The 19,457-nt window shown below is 38.7% G+C and overlaps 1 protein-coding gene and 1 long non-coding RNA gene across 29 annotated transcripts in view; one reads left to right on the plus strand and one right to left on the minus strand.

The window, feature by feature from the left end:
* The window catches only part of CNTN4 (contactin 4), a 959,094-nt gene that overhangs the window by 25,558 nt on the left and 914,079 nt on the right, over positions 1–19,457 (plus strand). For 12 of the 28 annotated variants that reach the window (XM_047447535.1, XM_047447518.1, XM_047447523.1 and 9 more), the window contains exons 1-2: positions 1–16,828; positions 19,289–19,417. The exon at positions 1–16,828 is cut by the window's left edge and continues 24,108 nt beyond it. The exons of 9 other annotated variants lie outside the window; for them this stretch is intronic. The gene's annotated coding sequence lies outside the window, so the exon portion shown is untranslated. The remainder of the gene's footprint in view (positions 16,829–19,288; positions 19,418–19,457) is intronic. 7 more of the 28 variants (XM_047447517.1, XM_047447524.1, XM_047447531.1 and 4 more) reach the window with 5 other exon arrangements.
* Positions 1–19,457, minus strand: part of CNTN4-AS2 (CNTN4 antisense RNA 2) — a 33,833-nt gene that overhangs the window by 14,015 nt on the left and 361 nt on the right. The window contains exon 2 of the long non-coding RNA NR_046555.1: positions 7,938–8,027. This is a non-coding gene — a long non-coding RNA (CNTN4 antisense RNA 2). The remainder of the gene's footprint in view (positions 1–7,937; positions 8,028–19,457) is intronic.

Consider the following 19,457-nt stretch of genomic DNA (forward strand, 5'->3'; position numbering starts at 1 on the left):
TTTATTTAAAACACACACACACACACACACACACACACACACACACACACCCCCTTAAGCAAGGTATGCTGGCTCACACCTATAATCCCACACTTTGGGAGGCTGAGGCGGGAGGACCACTTGAGCCCAGGAGTTCAAGACCAGCTGGAGCAACAAAGTGAGCTCCTTGTCTCAACAACAACAATGACAACAACAACAACAACATCTGGGCATGGTGGTGCATGACTGTGATCCCAGCTACATGGGAGGCTGAGGCAGGAGGTTCCCTTGTGCCAGGAGGTTGAGGCTGCAGTAAGCTATGTTCATGCTACTCTACTCCAGCCTGGAAGAGAGAGTGAAAAACAACCAACCAACCAACAAAAAAGCAGCTTGATTGAAGTGTAGTTGATGTACAAAAATCTACACAGATTTAATGTATACAATTTGCGGATTTTAATATATGCAAAGATGCATGAGACAATCAGTACAATTAAGGTAATAAATATATCTATTATCTCCAGAAGTTTCTTCCTGCCCCCGCTCCATGTTTTTACTGGTAAGATCACTTGACATCTACTTGCTTGACAGATTTTTAAGTGCATAAAACAGTGTTGTTAACTATAGGCACTATGTCGTGTAGCAGATCTCTAGCACTTATTCATCTTGCAGAATTGAAATTTTATACCCTTTGTACCCTTGAACAATAACTCTCCATTTTTCCTTCCTCTACAGGCTCTGGAAGCCACCATTCTACTCTTTGTTTCTATGAGTTTGACTATTTTAGATACCTTATATAAGTAGAATCACCCAGTATTTAACCTTCTGTAACTGCCTTATTTCACTTAGCATACTGTCTTCCAGGTACATGTATGTTGTCACATATGGCAGGATTTCCTTCTTTTTCAAGGCTGAGTAACATTCTATTCTCTGTGTGTGTGTGTGTGTGTGTGTGTGTGTGTGTGTATAACATGCCACGTTTTCTTTATTCATTTATTGATAGATATTTAGGTTGTTTCCATATCTTGACTACCGTGAATTAAGTAAACTCCAATGATCATGGGAGTGCAGATATCACTTCTAGATCTAAATCTTTGACATCTTGACTTCAATTCCTTTGGGCACAGATTTCTATGAAGATTTCTTTTTTCTTTTTCTTTTTCTTTTTTTTTTTTTTTGAGACGAGTCTCACACTGGCACCCAGGCTGGAGTTCAGTGGCACCATCTTGGATCACTGCAAGCTCTGCCTCCTGGGTTCACCCTTTCTACTGCCTCAGCCTCCTGAGTAGCTGGGACTACAGGCGCCTGCCACCATGCCCGGCAAATTTTCTGTATTTTTAGTAGAGACGGGTTTTACCGTGTTAAGCAGGATGGTCTCGATCTCCTGACCTCGTGATCCGCCCGCCTCAGCCTCCCAAAGTGCTGGGATTACAGGCGTGAGCCACAGCACCAGGCCTTCTATGAAGATTTATAAGTTGCTCAGTTTTTATTTCTGGTGTGTGTGTGTGTGTGTGTGTGTGTGTGTGTGTATGTGTGTATGTGTGTGTGTTTTAATTTTAAAAACCCTGTCATATTTAGGATATACCTCGTGATGAGTGTGATCAGCACTAATTGTCACTCTGTTATACTAAAAGCTCTTTCCGTAGTGTGTCTTCATTGCAAGCATCCATTGTGTATGGAATCCTGAATACAGTTATTTGAATGTCTGAGTATTAAACAATTAACTGTCTTTACAGAATGTCCTCCGGGGAACATAGTTTTTCCTTAGGGACCCTTGGGATCTCTAACCGCTTAAAATCTAGAAGCTCTTATGTGATAGGATGGGAAATTAAAAAATAAATCTCTACTATATGTTAGGATGTCCATACTGCATATAGCTCCTTAAGATAATGGACTATGATTCTATCTTGTCTCTGCGCCCAGTACATGGCACATTTCAGGGTGTCACAGATTTCCTAGGATTAAAATGCTTAGTAAATATATGAATGAATTCTAATTTTAGTTTCTTTATCTGGCACCTTTTCTTGTACTTTCTGAGCAATAAGAAGTAGGTATCTGGGTTTCTAGTAGATTTATGCCATATAATTAAGAAATATTGATTTAATAATTTTTGTGTCCTGTGAACTTTATTTAATCATTAGCTAATAAGATTTATTGAGCATCTTGCAGTTCTGTAGCCCTGTGCTTGATGGTGTTAGCTCCTTAGCACGTAATTGTTTTGACTAGAATGGTAATTTAAGGTAATTTGATATACAAAATGGAGTGCTATGTATGGCAAAGTTGAGAGGGGGTGAGGAGAATATAACTTCAAACCTGTTTGAAAACTCATCAAGTAATATTTTTCTTACTTTAAATGTGCTTTGGCCTCCTTTGTGTGCAAGCAATAGAGACCTATTTAGGCTCCTTTAACTACTGGGGGTTTATCAAAAGGTGAAATATAGAAATAAAGAGACGAGAAATACTGTCCACATGGGAGATTCTGATGTGAATTCTGGGAAAGCTGCACAAGTGTGGCACACCTGGACCTCACCTAGATGGAGGGTGGTTCGAAACTAGAAGGTCCTTTGTGACTTTTGTCTGATGAGGAGTCCTAGCAGTTTGAGGATCCAGTTTTCATAGTTACATAGTTAATTTAGTTTAATGACTTATTCTGTCTTTTTCATCTTTGTGGTTTGCGTTTTTCTCCTTTCTCAATGAATTGCTAGCTCTCTTCTCAAGAGAAGCCTGGATTGCTTAAGTTACCATCTTCCCACCTTTGTGGGCAGTGCCCTTGCTGGAGTCCACCTGATACCCTGTGGATCAGCTGCCCTTTGTCGGGTTCCCATCACAGCCCCAATGTGCTGTGGGTGAAGGGGTGGCCAGGGTGTTGAGAGAGAGCCAAGTCCATCAGAGAACTTTCAGAAGTACCTTGCTGTGAATCATCCTTCACAGCCTAGTGGGTGCCGCTCCTCCCTTTTATTCAATTTTTTAATAAACTCAATATTTGATCAAATTAAGTGGAGGGAGGGAGGATGGAATAACATGCTCCTGATATAATGGAAAATTCAGGCTCATTGAACTTGTGTGATGTGCCACAATCCTTTTAGAACAAGACCGTGATTGAAACTAGTCTCTTTTCTCTATTACTTTTTTGATTGTTTTAAAAAAAATCAAGAATATTTCTAAAATATAAAAAAAATTACAGGAGAGATAATTTGAGTATCTTCACTTTTTACACTCCTGCCAAGAATGCCCCACAACCCCACCCATTACAGAAGGATCAGATTCCATATTGGAAATATATGCCAATTTCAATTTAGCTGCTCAGTACCAAGAATTCTTGCACCTATGAGATGCTAAAGGTTTGAACTAAATGGAGCCACATTCATCATTGTTGTAGAAATCTGCCAGTGTTTAAAAGGTGCTACAGGGAACCTTTAAGTCATGCACCAAATTAAAAGATTGCAAGCTCCACTGGTGTAGTCAAAAGCAAGCTCAAAGCTGAGTGGCATCAAACCAAGAGTAGAAGATAACTTGTTACTGAATTTTGTTCTTCCTCTGAATGCCACTCTTTCAAGCAGAGCGAGGAAAATATGAATTTTGTGTTGTTAAAAGATGTTTATTTCCACACCCTAATTTATGTTTCAAACTGCAGGCTTTTGCAGAGAGTGTTTCTCTGAAACTTTTAAAGAAAGTGACATGTTACTACATGGGAAGAAAAGATAGAGCCTGGTTGGTAATGATTATACAGTCAGGGCTTTATCTGCTTGCAGATAATTTGTGGCTTATTTTTAACCGTCTGCCAGTTTCTTTTCTCATTGTTACATTTACCTGCTGATTGCAACCCTGAGCCAATCAGTCACTGGTGAGCATTTGGTGAATTCTACTTTTTTAAACTGGCCAAAAGAAAACACATATTTCCAGAATGGACACAGTGATACTAGCTAATATTTATTGAATACTTATTATGCAGTAGATTCAATATTTTAAATTTAACATTTACAGAAACCTCACCATAGCAAGAATTATCATTACTGTTTTACTGATGAATAGGGTGAGGCTTAGAAAGGTAAGTAACTTGTCAAGGTCTTAAAGGTAGTCAATGTCAGAGGCAGGGCTTGGATCCAGGGGAAACCTGGTCAATTTTAATCCTGCACTGAGAGGTGATCACAATCTGAAGACTGTGATCGACACTAAGACAGATTTTGTCAAACAAGCTGGTATCATGAGGAAGTCAGTTTGGATGATGATGGTATCCCATAACATGTCTCAAGAAGAACTTAGGATGTTTAGCTTATGGTGGTGTAAATTCAGTGCAAGGGGATGTAATAGGTGTCTTCATTTACATGAAACAATTTCAAGCGAAAGATGACTTAGATCTGCTTTGCATTTGCACAGGGGTGAGATGTAAGACATATTAAAGAAAACCATAAAGAGCCAACTGAATGAAATGATTCATCAATAAATGTGTTTCCTCAACGTATAGTGAGTGTCCTATCAATGGAAACTTTAACAAAGGAGCTAGATTTTGGTTTTACAGGACTCTTAGATCTATGGATTAAGATGTGTCTGTAATATTAGATGTATCTTAGAGAATAATTATCCAAAATATACTTCATGGAACATGGAGGAACTACAGACTAACATTTTCTATGGTAAAATATTTGGGAAATGCTTCATTTTTTCTTTCATAATATATTAACACGTTAAAGGCCAAATCAACTATTTAGGAAAAGAAAATAAAACAAAATTTCACCAACTTTATGAAGCTAACATTTCCTGAGCTTTAACATTTTTCATTTGTTATTATTTTTTGATACTAGGAAAGCCTTCTTGTGATACTATTAAGATCCCATAGAACATTGCAAATGCTTGTCCAAACCTGCAAAAAAAAAAAAAAAAAAAAGCGCACATCATGTGCAGAGACTTCCCATGGGCATTGGGTGCAGCTATTTGTAATGAGAAACAAAATAACTGTTGGCTTCCGTAGTGGACTTGTGAGAACCAGTAGTTTTGCATGGTGCAGGGATAGATAAGAAAGTTGTTTTCGATATGCTATTTTGGATTCTCTCACTCTAGGAAATAATCAAGTGTTGATGGTATTAAATTTCCTTTAGCATACATGCAAAGAGGGCATGTTTATAGACTTTGACTTGAACTTCTTCTAACAGGCCTTATTTTCCCTGAGTATGTTTCTACTTACTTAAAAACAGATGCTCTCTGAAAAATTCATGAAAACCAAAAATATGCTGGAGACTTTGGAGAGAAGCTCTTCACCCTGTTATTAAAGTTAGATTGTTTCTAACAATTTTTTTTTGCATCTTCTGCTTGGCAGTTAACTTCATGACCTTGAACAACCTTTCTGGCTTTCCTGTAACTCAGTTTCCTTCATTTACCTACCTACTTAACCAGATTGTACATAAAAATACATAGTATATATATAAATGGTTATATTAACAGATAGATCCTTTCAAACACACTTATATTGGTGGCTTTGTTAATGAATATTGCATTTGTGGCAGATAGACATGTTTCCTTAAATGAAGGTTTTCAAAACTGGCATTGTAAGTAAATTTTACATATTATCAGTTGCTTGCACCCAAAACTATTTCTACTGTGAACTGGAATACATCTTAAGAAATTATTTTAAAAGATGTAAATAACTAGTGGTAAAGTGATAGAGCACATCATAACTTTCTTCATTATCATAAGTAATGTGGCTTTGTCCATATGTTATTCTCATTTGAATTATAATTCTTATTTTTATTGTATGGGGGTTTGCACACTTTTGTCCTCAACTTTTCTTGTTTATTTTAAAAAGGGAGTCTCAGGATTTTTCTTCTGAAGTTAAAATTTAACCCTAAAGAAAGATGCCACAGTAGTTTAGTCTGCTTTTCTGGAGCTCTGAACCATTGAGGGCCAGAACTGACACTATAAGCAGGAGCAGCAGTCCCAAGATGGGATTCTAATATCAACCTTTGTTTTATCTGATTCACTATGAGTAAGAGGATACAATATGAGTGAACAGCAAACCTGTGAGAAACCTACAAGTATAAAACCAATGGTATTTAATTCAGGTAATAAAATAGAATTCTTAAACACCCTCTAAATTAAAAAGCCAGAAGATGCAGTTCTAATTACATGCCTTAACTAGAAGTAGGATATTTGCAGCTTATCAAGTTTTATGTAAATTTGTTCCTTTGGCACAATTTGCCTATATAAGCAGTATTAGTTCAGTATAAAATGTTTATTAGTTATTGAAACTGGCTCTAGTGTAATTTCTGTGTTTTAATACATAGTCCCAAGTTTTGTGGGATCCCTAGAGAGAACTGTGTGGTGTCTATGTTTTGAATAAACAGGTTTTTTGAATAATAGTAACTTACATATCTATAGTCTCTTATCTGAAGCCCTTGGGGTCAAAAGTAGTTTAGAATTTTAGATTTTAGAACGGTAGTATGCTACTAGTGCTGTGTGCTATGTGACATTCCAATAGAATCTTGGGCAATGGCCAAGCATGTTGACATTTCTTAGTGCTTGAATGGGATAAAGATCATAAAGAGCATCTTTTTCAGCTGAGGTCAGGTTGGGCTGACAGTGTGTTTGGTTTTCCAGAGCGTTTTGCATATTGGAACTGCAGATAAGGGATTATGGACCTGTAATATTAAATATAATAGCTGACATGTATTGTGTTTATTCCAAGCCAGACATGGTACTTTACTTGTATTATCTCATTTAATCTTTGCAACTCTTTGAAGAAGGTGATAGTATTAATTTTGTTTTACAGATGAGGAAGAGTTTCAGAGAAGTTAAGAAACTTGCCTAAGGATACATACACCTAGTAAGAAAGTGGTAGAGTTACATCTCAACTAAGTCGAATTAGACACCAAATCTGGTGTGCACAATAACTAGTTATCCTCCTCGTATTCAGTGTCTCTGATTTGCAGCCCATAGACTCAGTCTTACATCAACATAAAGGGAATTAATACGAAGGGTATCAGGTGATGGAGTATCAGGCCCAGGGGATAATTGGGGGAAAGAATGAGTCTCAGTAGCAACACTTCTTTGATAGTCTTTCTTGGCCATTTCCATTAGAATAAATATACTTCTAGTAGCAGTAAGATTCAGATGAGAGAGAATACTTGAGCTTGTGTTGCTGTTAGCTAGGGTAAAGTGGGGTGTCACAAATCCAGCATGATGGAGCAGTGTTCCTAAAGGAAAATTGATTGCTGTCAGCAAAAGATGTGATTCACGTGAGACAGCACACTCATGTAAAATGTCCACTGTATGGATGATTAATTAATTGCAGATGAAACTAACATTTGGATGAAAACCCCAGTTAGTTTTTTAAGTATAATCCATTTTAAGTTTACCACCTGCTTGATACCAGCAAAACAGTTAACTTATCATCTTGAATACTCAGATTCCTGTGGCAGTTCAGACACTTTCTAGGTCTTGGATCTCAGATCTAGAATCAGTGAGCTTTTTTCTTATTTGTAATCTGAGAGCAACAGTACATCTCCCAATTTACCTAGTGGGCATTGTGTTAGCTAAGATAGCCCAAAGAGCTTCTGGAAGTTCATACCCTATGTGTTCATATTTCTCATGCTGATTCTGTGTTGTTCTTGTATAACCAGCAGATGCAGTAGGGGAGATCCTGCATAACTTCTGTGGCCAAGTCATAAGGAGCCTTGCAGTGTCCACCTTATTTTCTTGGCATCTTCACTCTAGGGGAAGCTACTGCCATGTAAGAAGTCTGATCATTATGCTGTGAGGAAGTCCAAGCTAACCACGTGGAGAAAGATCAATTCCTGGCCAGCCAGCTGCTATTCTAGCTCTCCCAGCTAGTGTGCCAGACATGTAAATTACCTTGGACATCCCCACCCAACCGAACCATTAGTTCATTTCAGTCTAAAGTGCCATCTGACTGAAATGGCATGAACGATACCAAGGGACAACTGCCCAGCTGAGCCCAGACCACTCACAGAAACACGAGGGGCAATAATCCACGGTAATAAGTCACTAGGTTTCCCCGTAGTTTGTTATCCAATAGCAGATATCCAGAAACAGGTTTGCTGTGAAGAAGAGAGATAATGTGTTATATTCCTCAAATGAAGGTGAGCAGCTGTTTTATTATAATTGCTTTGACAATCCAGAAAGCAAGGTCTTTCTAATATCCTCAGAGGTTTCATTACAATTTGCCATTGTGATGAGGATAGTGATCATGCTGTACTCTCTGGACAGGGATGGAGAGTGTTAGTGATTGGCCAGCATCCAAGATTGTCATCATTTTTCCTTAGTGCAGGAGTTTAAAACATTCTGCCATTTTCTCACTCGTATTTATATTTTCACAATGAATGGGGTTTTCTCTAATAAGATTACTGTCATAAAGTCTCTTATTTAAAACTTCTGATGGATCCTCATTGTGGATGACAGGGCCCATTTCTCTGTTTTTGTAGACTGTCCCTCTGTCCAGAAACTACAGGGGAAATAAGATGTAGATTTTGAAAAAGTGACAGCGAGTCAAAGAACAGTTGGTCAAACAGCTTCCCAGCAGTTGGGACAGGCTGCCAGAGTGAATGTCAAAGAGAAGTTGGTTCTTGGATGGTTTTACAGAAAAACAAGACAATGAAACAAAGAAATAAGAAATAAGTAGGAGGCATGCAGAGGGACAAAAATGAAGGACTTGATATTAGGACACCAGAGCAATCAGTAGTAGGTTGGATAGGAGGAGTTGAGAAGAGGGAGGAGGAAGCAACTAAGGGTTGGTTGGAACTTCAACACTTAATGGGTTCACTCCCTCCTGTCTGTAATTAATTCTAGCTTTAGTTACTTCATTTTCTCCTTAGAGGAAGATAAAGTGACCTGGACTATCTTCTTTATGTTATAGTTGTTTAGAATCAAAGGGCATTTTCTTAAAGTCTCTTTTCCCAAGTAATTCTTAAGATTTCTTAAGTGTCATTGTCTCTTCAGGTGGAGTCATAAAATGCATCTCTATGAGGGGCAATAAAATGCATGGAGGTGCCTTTTATGGCTGTTGCTAGCAGAGGACTAGAATAAGATAATGATGGTATTTTGCAAATAGTGATAAGGAGCAAATTGCACATTCCAATGTCAATCTGTTCTCAAAAGAGTATAGTTCAAAGTTTCTACAAAGCTTTTTGAAAGCTTTTCTTTTTTGAAATGAGTCTCTGATTTCTGTTTTTCCTAGCTATACATAGATTTTATTTTGGGGAAAATTTTAGGTAGTAACATTATCCTTAATATTTACTGATTTGCTGTAGAATTTTAAACTGGACAAATGAAAGCCCTTGAGGAAGAGAAATTTATATTCTAACATAGCGAAATAAATATATGTCTTGCAACTTGAATTGTTGTTAGGAAATTACTTGTATGCCTGAGTTCATGAATTATTTAATTTAAGATTATTTTCCTTTTTCTAATTTATCACTGGCTAGGTCCTTTAACAATCTTTTGATTTATTAAGAGTCATTTTCCAGAATTAGATTTAAAGCTCTATTGTTTTCTTATGATTTTCCTATGAAAATTGAGTATGTCTCCTATAAAAGCTATATTTCTCTTGTTTGACTTATTTCATTTCTCTATTATGAAAGGCAATCATTTTAAAACTGATGAAATTTTAAAAAATTGACCTAATCTGAAAAAACCAGCCCATTTCATGATCCTTCTTCACTTATTGGAAAAGACTATGGAGTCAGGAGTTGGGGAATGTACCGACCTCCATTAAGAGGTAAATGACTTGCTTGTGTCTAGAAGCGTTTGTGTCATTTGCCTCTCAGTGCTTGCTGCAGTTTTAAGGAAATTGTCCTCCTATTAAGGTTATGTATCAGAATCACCCTTGAAACTTTTTATTAATAAAGATTCTCTGTCCCCACAATGAGGTTTATTAAATCAGAATCTCCAGGGCACTGGTGTGCTGAACGAGTCTCCTAGGTGATTTGAATTCGTACCCCAGTCTGCATCTGAAAACTGCCGCTTTTCAAAGAGAGGCAGACAGGTTGATGGATGATAGGATCCAGTCTGACACATGGAAAAGCTACAAGGAGGGAGCATGGAGGAATCCTTCATTTAGGGAGACATGAGTATTGTGAATGATGGTGTAATCACTGCTAAAAATTTCTCGGGTTTCTAAGAAAGTTTTATGTCCTCAGTTTTCTTGATGGTGTCTCCAGCCAAGCTGTAATGCAGTGGTTCCCAACTAGGGGCATCTTGGTCTCCAGGGGCTATTTGACAATGGCTGGTCCTATTTTTGGTTGTGATAACTAAGGGGATGCCGCTGGCATCTAGTGATTAGAGGCCAGGGATGCTGCTGAACACCCTCAGTGCAAGGGGAGCCCTGTGTTAGTCAGAATTCTCCAGAGAAACAGAACATATATGATGGCCCAGCTTATGCGGCAGTCATGTGGGAGTTTTCTCTTACTCAGCTTTTTGTCCTCTTTTGATCTCCAATTGATTGGGTGAGGACCTCCCACATTATGGAGGGCAATCTGCTTTACTTAGTCTGGAGATTCAAATGTTAACCTCATCCAAAATATCCTCACAGACACACCCAGAAGTACATTTGACCAAATGTCTACACAACCTGTGGCCCAGTCAAGTTGATATATAAAATTGACCATCACAGCCCCTTACAACAAAGAGTTATCAGGCCCAAAATGTCAGTAGTATCAAGGCTGGGAAACCCTGATCTAGTGAAGTGCAGTGAAATTCTCAAAATAAAAATATTCTAGGGGCCAGCATTGAAAAGGATGTGGCAGGGCCAGGTAGGAGAGCATTAGAGATGGCCTGTGTGGACCTTGAGGAAGCCAGATGAGATAAAGAGGAGGAGAGGGCATGAACATAGGATAAAAGCTCGAGACAGGAAGAGATGGGGTTAAAATGAACATCAGGTACTTGAAAAGAGGGATGTTCATCAGGTGTTATTTTTCCTAGCAGTGTTATGTAAAATACGAGTACTATCTGAAAGTCTGAAAAAGGTAGGGCCAATTTAACATCAGCTTTAAGATAGTAAATCTCTATTCTGTAAGATGTAATGGTAGTTTTTAAGCCTTGAAAATTGGAAATGTTAGACAATGGTAGCATATGTGAGCCAGAGAGAATTTGATGGTAAATTTGTAGTACAGAACTTTAGACTTGTTTTTACCAGGAAGAAGCATCAGAGAAACAGTGAGAGTAATCAGCGCATATTTGTTGTATTTCCGAGGCTGGTAATGGAGCTAAAGTGTGGGGGCAGAGCTTTTTGTTTGGGAAAGTGTGGAAATGGGGCTGGTCAATGCAGATGAAGGGGTGCTATGGGAACCTTATGATGTAAAATACACTCTCTCATTGTCTTCACAAGTGTAGCTCTAATTGCCTGACCTATGTGCAGATTTGTTGTTCAGAACAAATGGGGTTACCATAAGTATGGAAAATGGTTCCTGGTCTACAGCGAATTGGAGAGACTAGAGAGGCAAGCCAGTGCTCTTAAATAGCAGTGACCCATCTAAGTTCATTTTTCATCACCCTTCTGGTAAATACTTCCTAATTTTCTCTAGGGGATGTGCTTTCCCCATGTTTGATCTGTTTTTTTCTGAGAGGTGTTTGGTTCATCCTGGTTGTAGGGTTGGGTTTGTGATATAGGCATAGCCTCTCAGAGGCATTTGGCCATAAGTCTTATCTGGGTATGGGCTCATGACCCCAGGTCAATCTAGTCAGATCTGCTGATGTTAATTCTGAGGCTCTTTTCTTTCCTTACTTTTGTATTTGGAGGTGTAAGGATGTAATCCCACGTTCTTGGTCATAATCTTGTCATACTATAGAAAGGGACTTTTTCAAAATGTAGTTAATTCAAGGAAGACCAGAGTTGAGAGACCTTATATCATTTGTGCTCCTGGATGAAGCTGTACCTGAAGCTAGGTTGTCCCAGAATTCTGTTAGTAAACTATTAAATTTCTTTTTTGGTTATACTAGTTTGTGTTGTTTCTTTCACTAATGACTGAACAAATTACTAAAAGATACACTGAATTATTAGGAGAAACTGTCCAATTAGTAAGTGATATAGCCAACTAATAACTAATTAATTAATGTTTCATACTCCAGTATTTGGGCTCTGTGTATATATTGGTGATATTCTTCCATTCTTGTTTGTTTGTGTTTTGGAGAGTTTGACAAAAATGCATAGGCTATCTCTGGTAATGCTTGGTTTAAAGCATATTTCATATTCAGAAAGATGTTGTATTTGAGAAGCGACGTGGTAATTGGTTTTGAGAGTATACATCTTAGACAATTAAATGGTTACATTGCTTCCTTCCTTGGTTTAAAAAAAAAAAAAGAAATCCAAGGGTATTCCAGTTGTATAAATAGGGACAACACAGTTTATGCTATTTGTAATTACAGATACCACTCAAAAGAATTGATTCCGTTTACTTTTGTATTAGTGTACTGTGGAAAGTCGTTAATTATAATGTCTGTTCTTATCCAACAACATGCAATAAGTAAAGATGAAAATATAGAGATTATTAGTTTGAATAACTGGTTGCATGCCATCCGGTTTTATATGATTGCTGAAATGCAAAACAAACAACCCCTCCCCCCGAAGAAAACAACCCACCGTTCTTAAATAAGACATTTGTGACATAACAAATTAGAATCTAGGAGAAGGAAAATATTTTCCCAGTATCTAAAGCCATTGAATCAAAATAATCGTGTAGATCACACTTTAGTTCAGATATAACCTAAATAAATTCTCTAGCCAGGGCACCCATCTGTCAAAAAATAAAACTCTGGCCCTCATTTAAAATGGCTCCTTTAGACTGAGGTCATCTAGCTGTATCTAAATTGGACATGAAATGTCAATTTCATACCTTATAGTGGCACATTTCATATTGCTCTACTTAAGGTTATGTCAGCTTTACCCATAAAATGCAAGTGATTTAGGTCTTATTCTAAATGAACTAACCAGATACATCAGCAATGGGCACTGCCTTGCCACTGCAGAAAAAGGGAATGTGTGAAGGGAAGACAGAAACCACTTATTCTGTTTCTTAACTCTGGAAGTATAGGTATTCCAGGTTGGGATGTCTTGTCTATATTTTCATTCCTTGTGAATGATAATTTGGGGGTGGGGGGATTAGAAAGATGCTTTATTCAAAATGAATTGTATTGCCTGCAGGCGATTCACTTGCTTAAGTTATATTTGTGAGTTATTGTATGTAACTTTATCACATTGGAAAGTTTATGAACCTTGTGTAGAAAAAAGATTGCATTTTGGGAGCTATGCACATCATGGCTTTTTCACAAGTGACAGAAAAGTGCTGCAGATGATTTAAGCAGGAAGAAATGAATTTTTCGAAAGATTTTGAGTCCAGAAGGGAGATAGGGCAGTCAGTCTTGGAAGATGAAAAGGACAAAGCCAAAGCGGGCCAGGCAGGCAAGGGAGTAGTGTTGTGAACGCCCTACCCCACCCCTACTGCATCTGAGTGTTGCAACTGCCTGTGTTGCCACTATGTAAACACTGCTCCTTAATATCTGCTTCCTTGGATCCGAATTCAGAGCCCTGGGGACAGTGCATCTCATTGGCTGAGCATGTATCAGCCATTGGTAACCAAGCTGCAAAGAGGCTGGGAAAGTAAGTAGTCGGCTCTTTCAGCTTCTAGCTGGAATGTGATCACCTCCCAATATTCTTCTTCTTCTTTTTTTTTTTTTTTTTCGAGACGGAGTCTCGCTCTGTTGCTCAGGCTGAAGTGCAGTGGCACGATCTCAGCTCACTGCAACCTCCACTTCCCGGGTTCAAGTGATTCTCCTGCCTCAGCTCCCTAGTTACTGGGACTACAGGCGCCCGCCATCACGCCTGGCTAATTTTTGTGTTTTTTTACTAGGGACGGGGTTTCACCATGTTGGCCAGGCTGGTCTTGAACTCCTGACCTCAAGTGATCCACCTGCCTTGGCCTCCCAAAGTGCCGGGATTACAGGTGTGAGCTACCGTGCCCAGCCCCAGTATGTCTTCTTATAGTGGGGGGTATCTAAAAACAGGAAGAAGTTTCAGATGCTTGGCAGCTGACATGGCTAATTTTAGGTCAACTTGACTGTATCATGGGGTGCCTGGATAAAACATTGTTTCTGGGTGTTTCTGTGAAGGTGTGTTAGGTTGAGATCACCACTAGAATAAATGGACTTAGTAAAGCAGATTGTGAGTGGTCATCATCCAATTCACTGAGGGCATGAATAGAACAAAAATACCGAAGGGGAAAAATTAAGAATTTGTCCCTTTCTCTTCCTGCCTGCTGGTTGAGCTGGGACATTGGTCCTCTCCTGCCCTGGAACTGGTATTTATACCATTTCCTGGTTATCAGGCCTTCAGACTTGAACTGGAATTACACCATTAGCTCTTCTCTGGATCTCCAGCTTATAGATGGCAGATTTTGGAACTTCTCAGTCTCCATAATCATATGAGCCAATTCTTTGTAATAAATTTTCTTCTCTCTCTCTCTCTCTGCCTATCTATCCATCTAGTTATCTGGATATATCGCCTATGGGTTTTCTTTCTCTGGAGAGCTCTGACTAATAGAGTAGCCAAAGCAAAGACAGTTTGTATGTGTATGGTTTTATGGGGAGTGGATTTTCAGGAAAGCAGGAAAAAGATTTTTTCCAGGGCACTTGGGTAGTGCATCTTTTTTCCTCTAACAAATGGGGGAGCATGTGGCCTTCTGAGTACTGGGTTTGCTTAATGAATCAGGAGAGCCAGTGTTTATAAATATTCCTTTAAATGGCAGAGCGTAGATCCTGGTTTGTAGTCCCCTTAGTATATTTGTAATGTTTTCATCATACCCCTAGGCCAAAGAAAATACTCAACATTAAGTAGTTTTATTCATTAGGTAGGTAGGTTGAAACAAATGAATAAGAATTTATGTACTAACGTAATTTGAAAAACATATATATCATTTGAAAAAACACACAAATTGAAATAAAATATTTTTTTCTTAAATAACCACTATTGCTTACTAATGGGATATATCCTCCTGTTGGGCACAGAATGACTTCACATACATTGGAATTAGATTGGACACTGCTACCTGATTCCCATCCACATTGATTTTCATGACGCACATTTTATTACAGCAATGGCTATGAACCCAGCTTTGCAAAGATATAACATAATGAAAAGGAATGTAATGCAATCAAATATTGAAACTGCCAACTACCTCGAGCTATCCTGACAGTTGAGCATAGCTTGGGAGTGGTAGACATAGATTATCACTGAAATTCTAATGTGAGCCTGATGGCAACTTGAGTTGAAGGGCATTCTTGCAAGACTGCTTGGTTGGGGAGTGTCACACCAGCTGGATGTTTCCAGAACCAAGGGCCTGGGAAAAACTATGCCAGTGTGCACAGTGCACACTCTTCCTCAGTGTAGCCACTCTGCTTCTGATGTGTTTTGTTGTCTAAATCAGTCAGCAACCTATCACAGATGTGTGCATCTTTTCCTACCAATCCACAAAACCCACCTGATACGGTTTGTCTGTGTACCCACCCAAATTTAATCTTGAATTGTAATCCCTATAATTCCCACCTGTCATGGGGGGCACCCAGTGGGAGGTGATTGAATCATGGACACAGGTCTTTACTGTGCCGTTCTTGTCATAGCAAATGCGTCTCACAGGATCTGATGGCTTTATAAAGAGGAGTTCCCCTGCACAAGCCCTCTTGCCTGCCGCCATGTAAGATGTGCCTTTGCTTCTCCTTTGCCTTCCACCATGCTTGTGAGGACTCCCCAGCCATGTGGAACTGAGAGTCCATTAAACCTCTTTTTCTTTATAAATTACCCAGCCTCAGGTATGTCTTTATTAGCAGTGTGAGAACAGACTAATACACCACCTGAAATAATGTACCCCTTAAAATCCTTATTTATGGATTGATGAGAAAACAGAGCTTTCATTTTATATGATTAACAGAAGATAAGTGCCTCTGTTGCCCAGATCAGACTGTCTTAGTTCATTCAGGCTGCTATAACAAGTTACCATTTTCTGGGTAGCTCCTAAACAACAGAAATTTATTTCTTACAATTCTAGGGTCTTGGAAGTCCAAGATCACGGCAACCTCAGACACTTTTGGTGAGGGCCCACTTCCTGGTTCATAGATGGGCCTTCTTGCTATGTTCTCACATGGGTATAGGAGGTAACAGAGCTCTCTGCAGCCTCTTTTATAAGGGCGCTAACCCCATTCATGTCCTAATTACCTCCCCCAAAGCCCCAACTCCTAATAGCATCACCTTGGGTATTAGGATTTCAAGATATGAATTTTGGGGGAACATAAACATTCAGACCATAGCATAGGCCAATTAAGAACTAGGTATATGTAAAAGCATGGCTCCTTTTTTGGTACAAAGCTGGTGTATGCCTCAAAATTTATATTTTGCACTCAGAAAAATTCTTCCTTTTATTCCCTGAACTGCTTGTTCATGTGATCTCTACTTCTGTATGTCCAGGTCTTTGATATGTGTATGAGTTGACTGTTTCATTGTGTCGGAACATCTTTTGATTGTGTCAAGAGTTCCAGCTTCTTTTCTTTAAAGATCCTGTTTTATAATCTGCCAGCCTGACCACACTCAGCATACAGTCTTCAAAGTTACAGGTTATGTGAAACTTTCAAATGAGATATTACTTACTCCTGTTCTTCAGCTGGAATATCAGTTGCTGGGGGAGCTGGAGAAACAATTCCCAAAATGAAGAGCACCTTAGCATTTCTACAATGTTGTCATTGCAGGGTATTGTGATAGGCAGAATGCTGGCCCTGCCCCAAAGATGCCAGTGTCCTAATCTCTAGAACCTCTGAATATGCTACCTCACATGGCAAAAGGGACTCTGCCAATATGATGAAGGTAAGGATCTTAAAATGAGGAAAAAATTCTGGATTATCCTAGTGGACCTAATATTTTATAAGTGTACTTGTAAATGAAAGAGAGGGGCAGGAGTTGTGATTATGTGATTGCTGGCTTTGAAGATGAAAGAGGACCATAAGCCAAGGATCAAGGTCAGTCCCTAGAAACTGGAAAAGCCAAGAAAACAGACTCTCTGATAGACCCTCCAAAAGGAACAGGAAGGAAGCCCTGCCCAGTCTTAATTGTAGCCCAGTGAGACCCATTTTAGACTTCTGATTTCCAGAACTGTAAGATAGTAAATGTATATTGCTTTAAATTACTACATTTGTGGCAATTTGTCACATCAGTAGTAGGAAATGAATACAGCTATAAAGTGGAAGAAACCATAGAAAGTTCACTGAGCCTTTTGAGATTAATCTTTAACTCATATTCTAAAATCATATAGCTCCCTGAGTGTCAAACTGATAACTACATAATCACACTTTCACTGTTCTCAGGTTTACTACAAGCAGAATTACCCCATACTGGTGTTCAGGCAGATGAATTCTCACTATGAAATACTTTTTAATTGGCGTTCTTATGATTGCCTCCAAAATGTTTAAACCTTTTGACAGTTGCATCCATTTTATGAATCCATCTTCAGTAATAAAGATTGAAATGCTCTAAACCACCAAAAATTAGTGGCTTAATCAGAAACTGAGGGTGGTTCTATAAATCCAAAGCTGCTGGTCATTAGACCTCACTACCATCATTATGTATTTCTTCATCCTGATGCATCTCACATTCATTTTTTGACACGTTAATGATTTCTGTCGTAGGCATATTAACTGTCCACATGTAAATGTGATGGACACTGCTTTGGTTTAGCATGGGGCTATTTCGATTGGTCATACAGCCAAAGAAGGAAGTAAAGGATGTAAACAGTGTGGGTGCTTATATTTTTTTCCAATATTTGTGGAAGCATCTGTTTCTACATATGACTGGCACAAATGATATCTTTTTGTAAAATATTTCATAATTTCTCCAAAATATACCAGCTTTCTGGTTTTGTTTTTAGAGCTAGAGACTTTGTCTGCTCTCCTGACTTTTTGATATTCTTTCTTTCCTTTTTTTTTCTTTCTTTTTTTTTTAAAGATGGCATCTCATTCTGTCGCCCAGGCTGGAGTGCAATGGCATGATCTCAGCTCACTGCAACCTCACCTCCCAGGTTCAAGAGATTCTCCTGCCTCAGCCTCCCCAATAGCTGGGATTACAGGTGCCCGCCATCATGCCTGGCTAATTTTGTATTTTTAGTAGAGATGGGCTGGTCTCGACGTCCTGACTGCAAGTGATCTGCCCGCCTCGGCCTCCCAAACTGCTGGGATTAGAGGCGCAAGCCACTGTGCCTGGCTGATATGCTTTCATTTTTCACTCCCTTTTTAATCTTCCCCTCCATTACCAGTTAACAAACTACTACAGCTGCCTCTGCAAATGATAGAAGAACAAAAATTAGGAGGAGAGGGGGCTGGAGGAGGAGAAGAAAGAAGCAGAGAAGGAGAAGGACTTCATAGAAACTACGGCTGCTTTCAGGCATATAATGTGAGATCTTGAGAGAGAATTAAGGAGTGAATTTCCACGTAACTTTCAAAGATTGTAAATAGGCTGCCTCTATTTTTTGCAATTGCCAGGCAATGACAGTGTACTTTACTTCTACTCTCCTCTGAAGGAGCAAAATGAGTGCTCTATGGCCTTAACCTCTATTTCTCTCTTAACTGGATTCAAACGTATGTCATGCTTTGAGCCTTCATTACGTAAGCGATTTTTCTCAAGGTCACTGGGAGCACCACGTTCACTGCCTCTGGATGGTTCACTGTACTGCCGTGCAGCCTTGCTGACCATTTCATGATTTGGGGTTCATGTTCATTTTATAGACTGGATTTTTTTCTGTTTTACGTTTCCCATTTTCTTTGTTACTTAGAATTAACCATGACCAGATCAATTAATAAAATAGTTCAGGTTGTCTTATTCTATTTGTGCATTTGGTTTGCAGTTACCTTCACAAATATTCTGGTGGCTAATGAAGTTAAACCAAAGTTTGTCAATCTGATTTTACATAAGCTGTGTGCCAAAACTGTGTTAGGTTCAATAATGCTCATTTTCTTGTTTAATTTTCACAACAACTAAGAATATTATCAGATTCATATTCTCCTTAGATAATTAATAATTAATCACATTATTATTCTCCTGAGAAGGAGGTGATACTATTCTCGATTTAGACATAAAGAATCTTAGGCTCAGAGAATCACCAGCAGATTGTAATTTTGAGCCTAGATCATCAATGTCTAAATTCTTGCTCCTCTTATTATACCATTCTACTAATTTATCAATGATAAATATTTGTTAAATGCATGTTGTGTGCTAGGCATTGCACCCTGTTCTTTATTTACAAACATATGAGTTATTATTATCTCTGATTTGTAGATGAAGAAATTGAGTTTAGAGTTAAATGATTGCCCAGGATTATGTTGTTACAAGTGCAGAATCAGTAATCAAATTGCTGTGCTGTGTCCTCCAGGGCCTGAGTTCCTACATTGCCATGAGCCATTAAAGGTAAGATGCTAATTAAAGGTATCCATGACTAATTTTAATG

The sequence above is a fragment of the Homo sapiens genome, chromosome 3 (genome assembly GCF_000001405.40).
Source record: "Homo sapiens chromosome 3, GRCh38.p14 Primary Assembly".
In the NCBI taxonomy this organism is placed as follows: domain Eukaryota; kingdom Metazoa; phylum Chordata; class Mammalia; order Primates; family Hominidae; genus Homo; species Homo sapiens.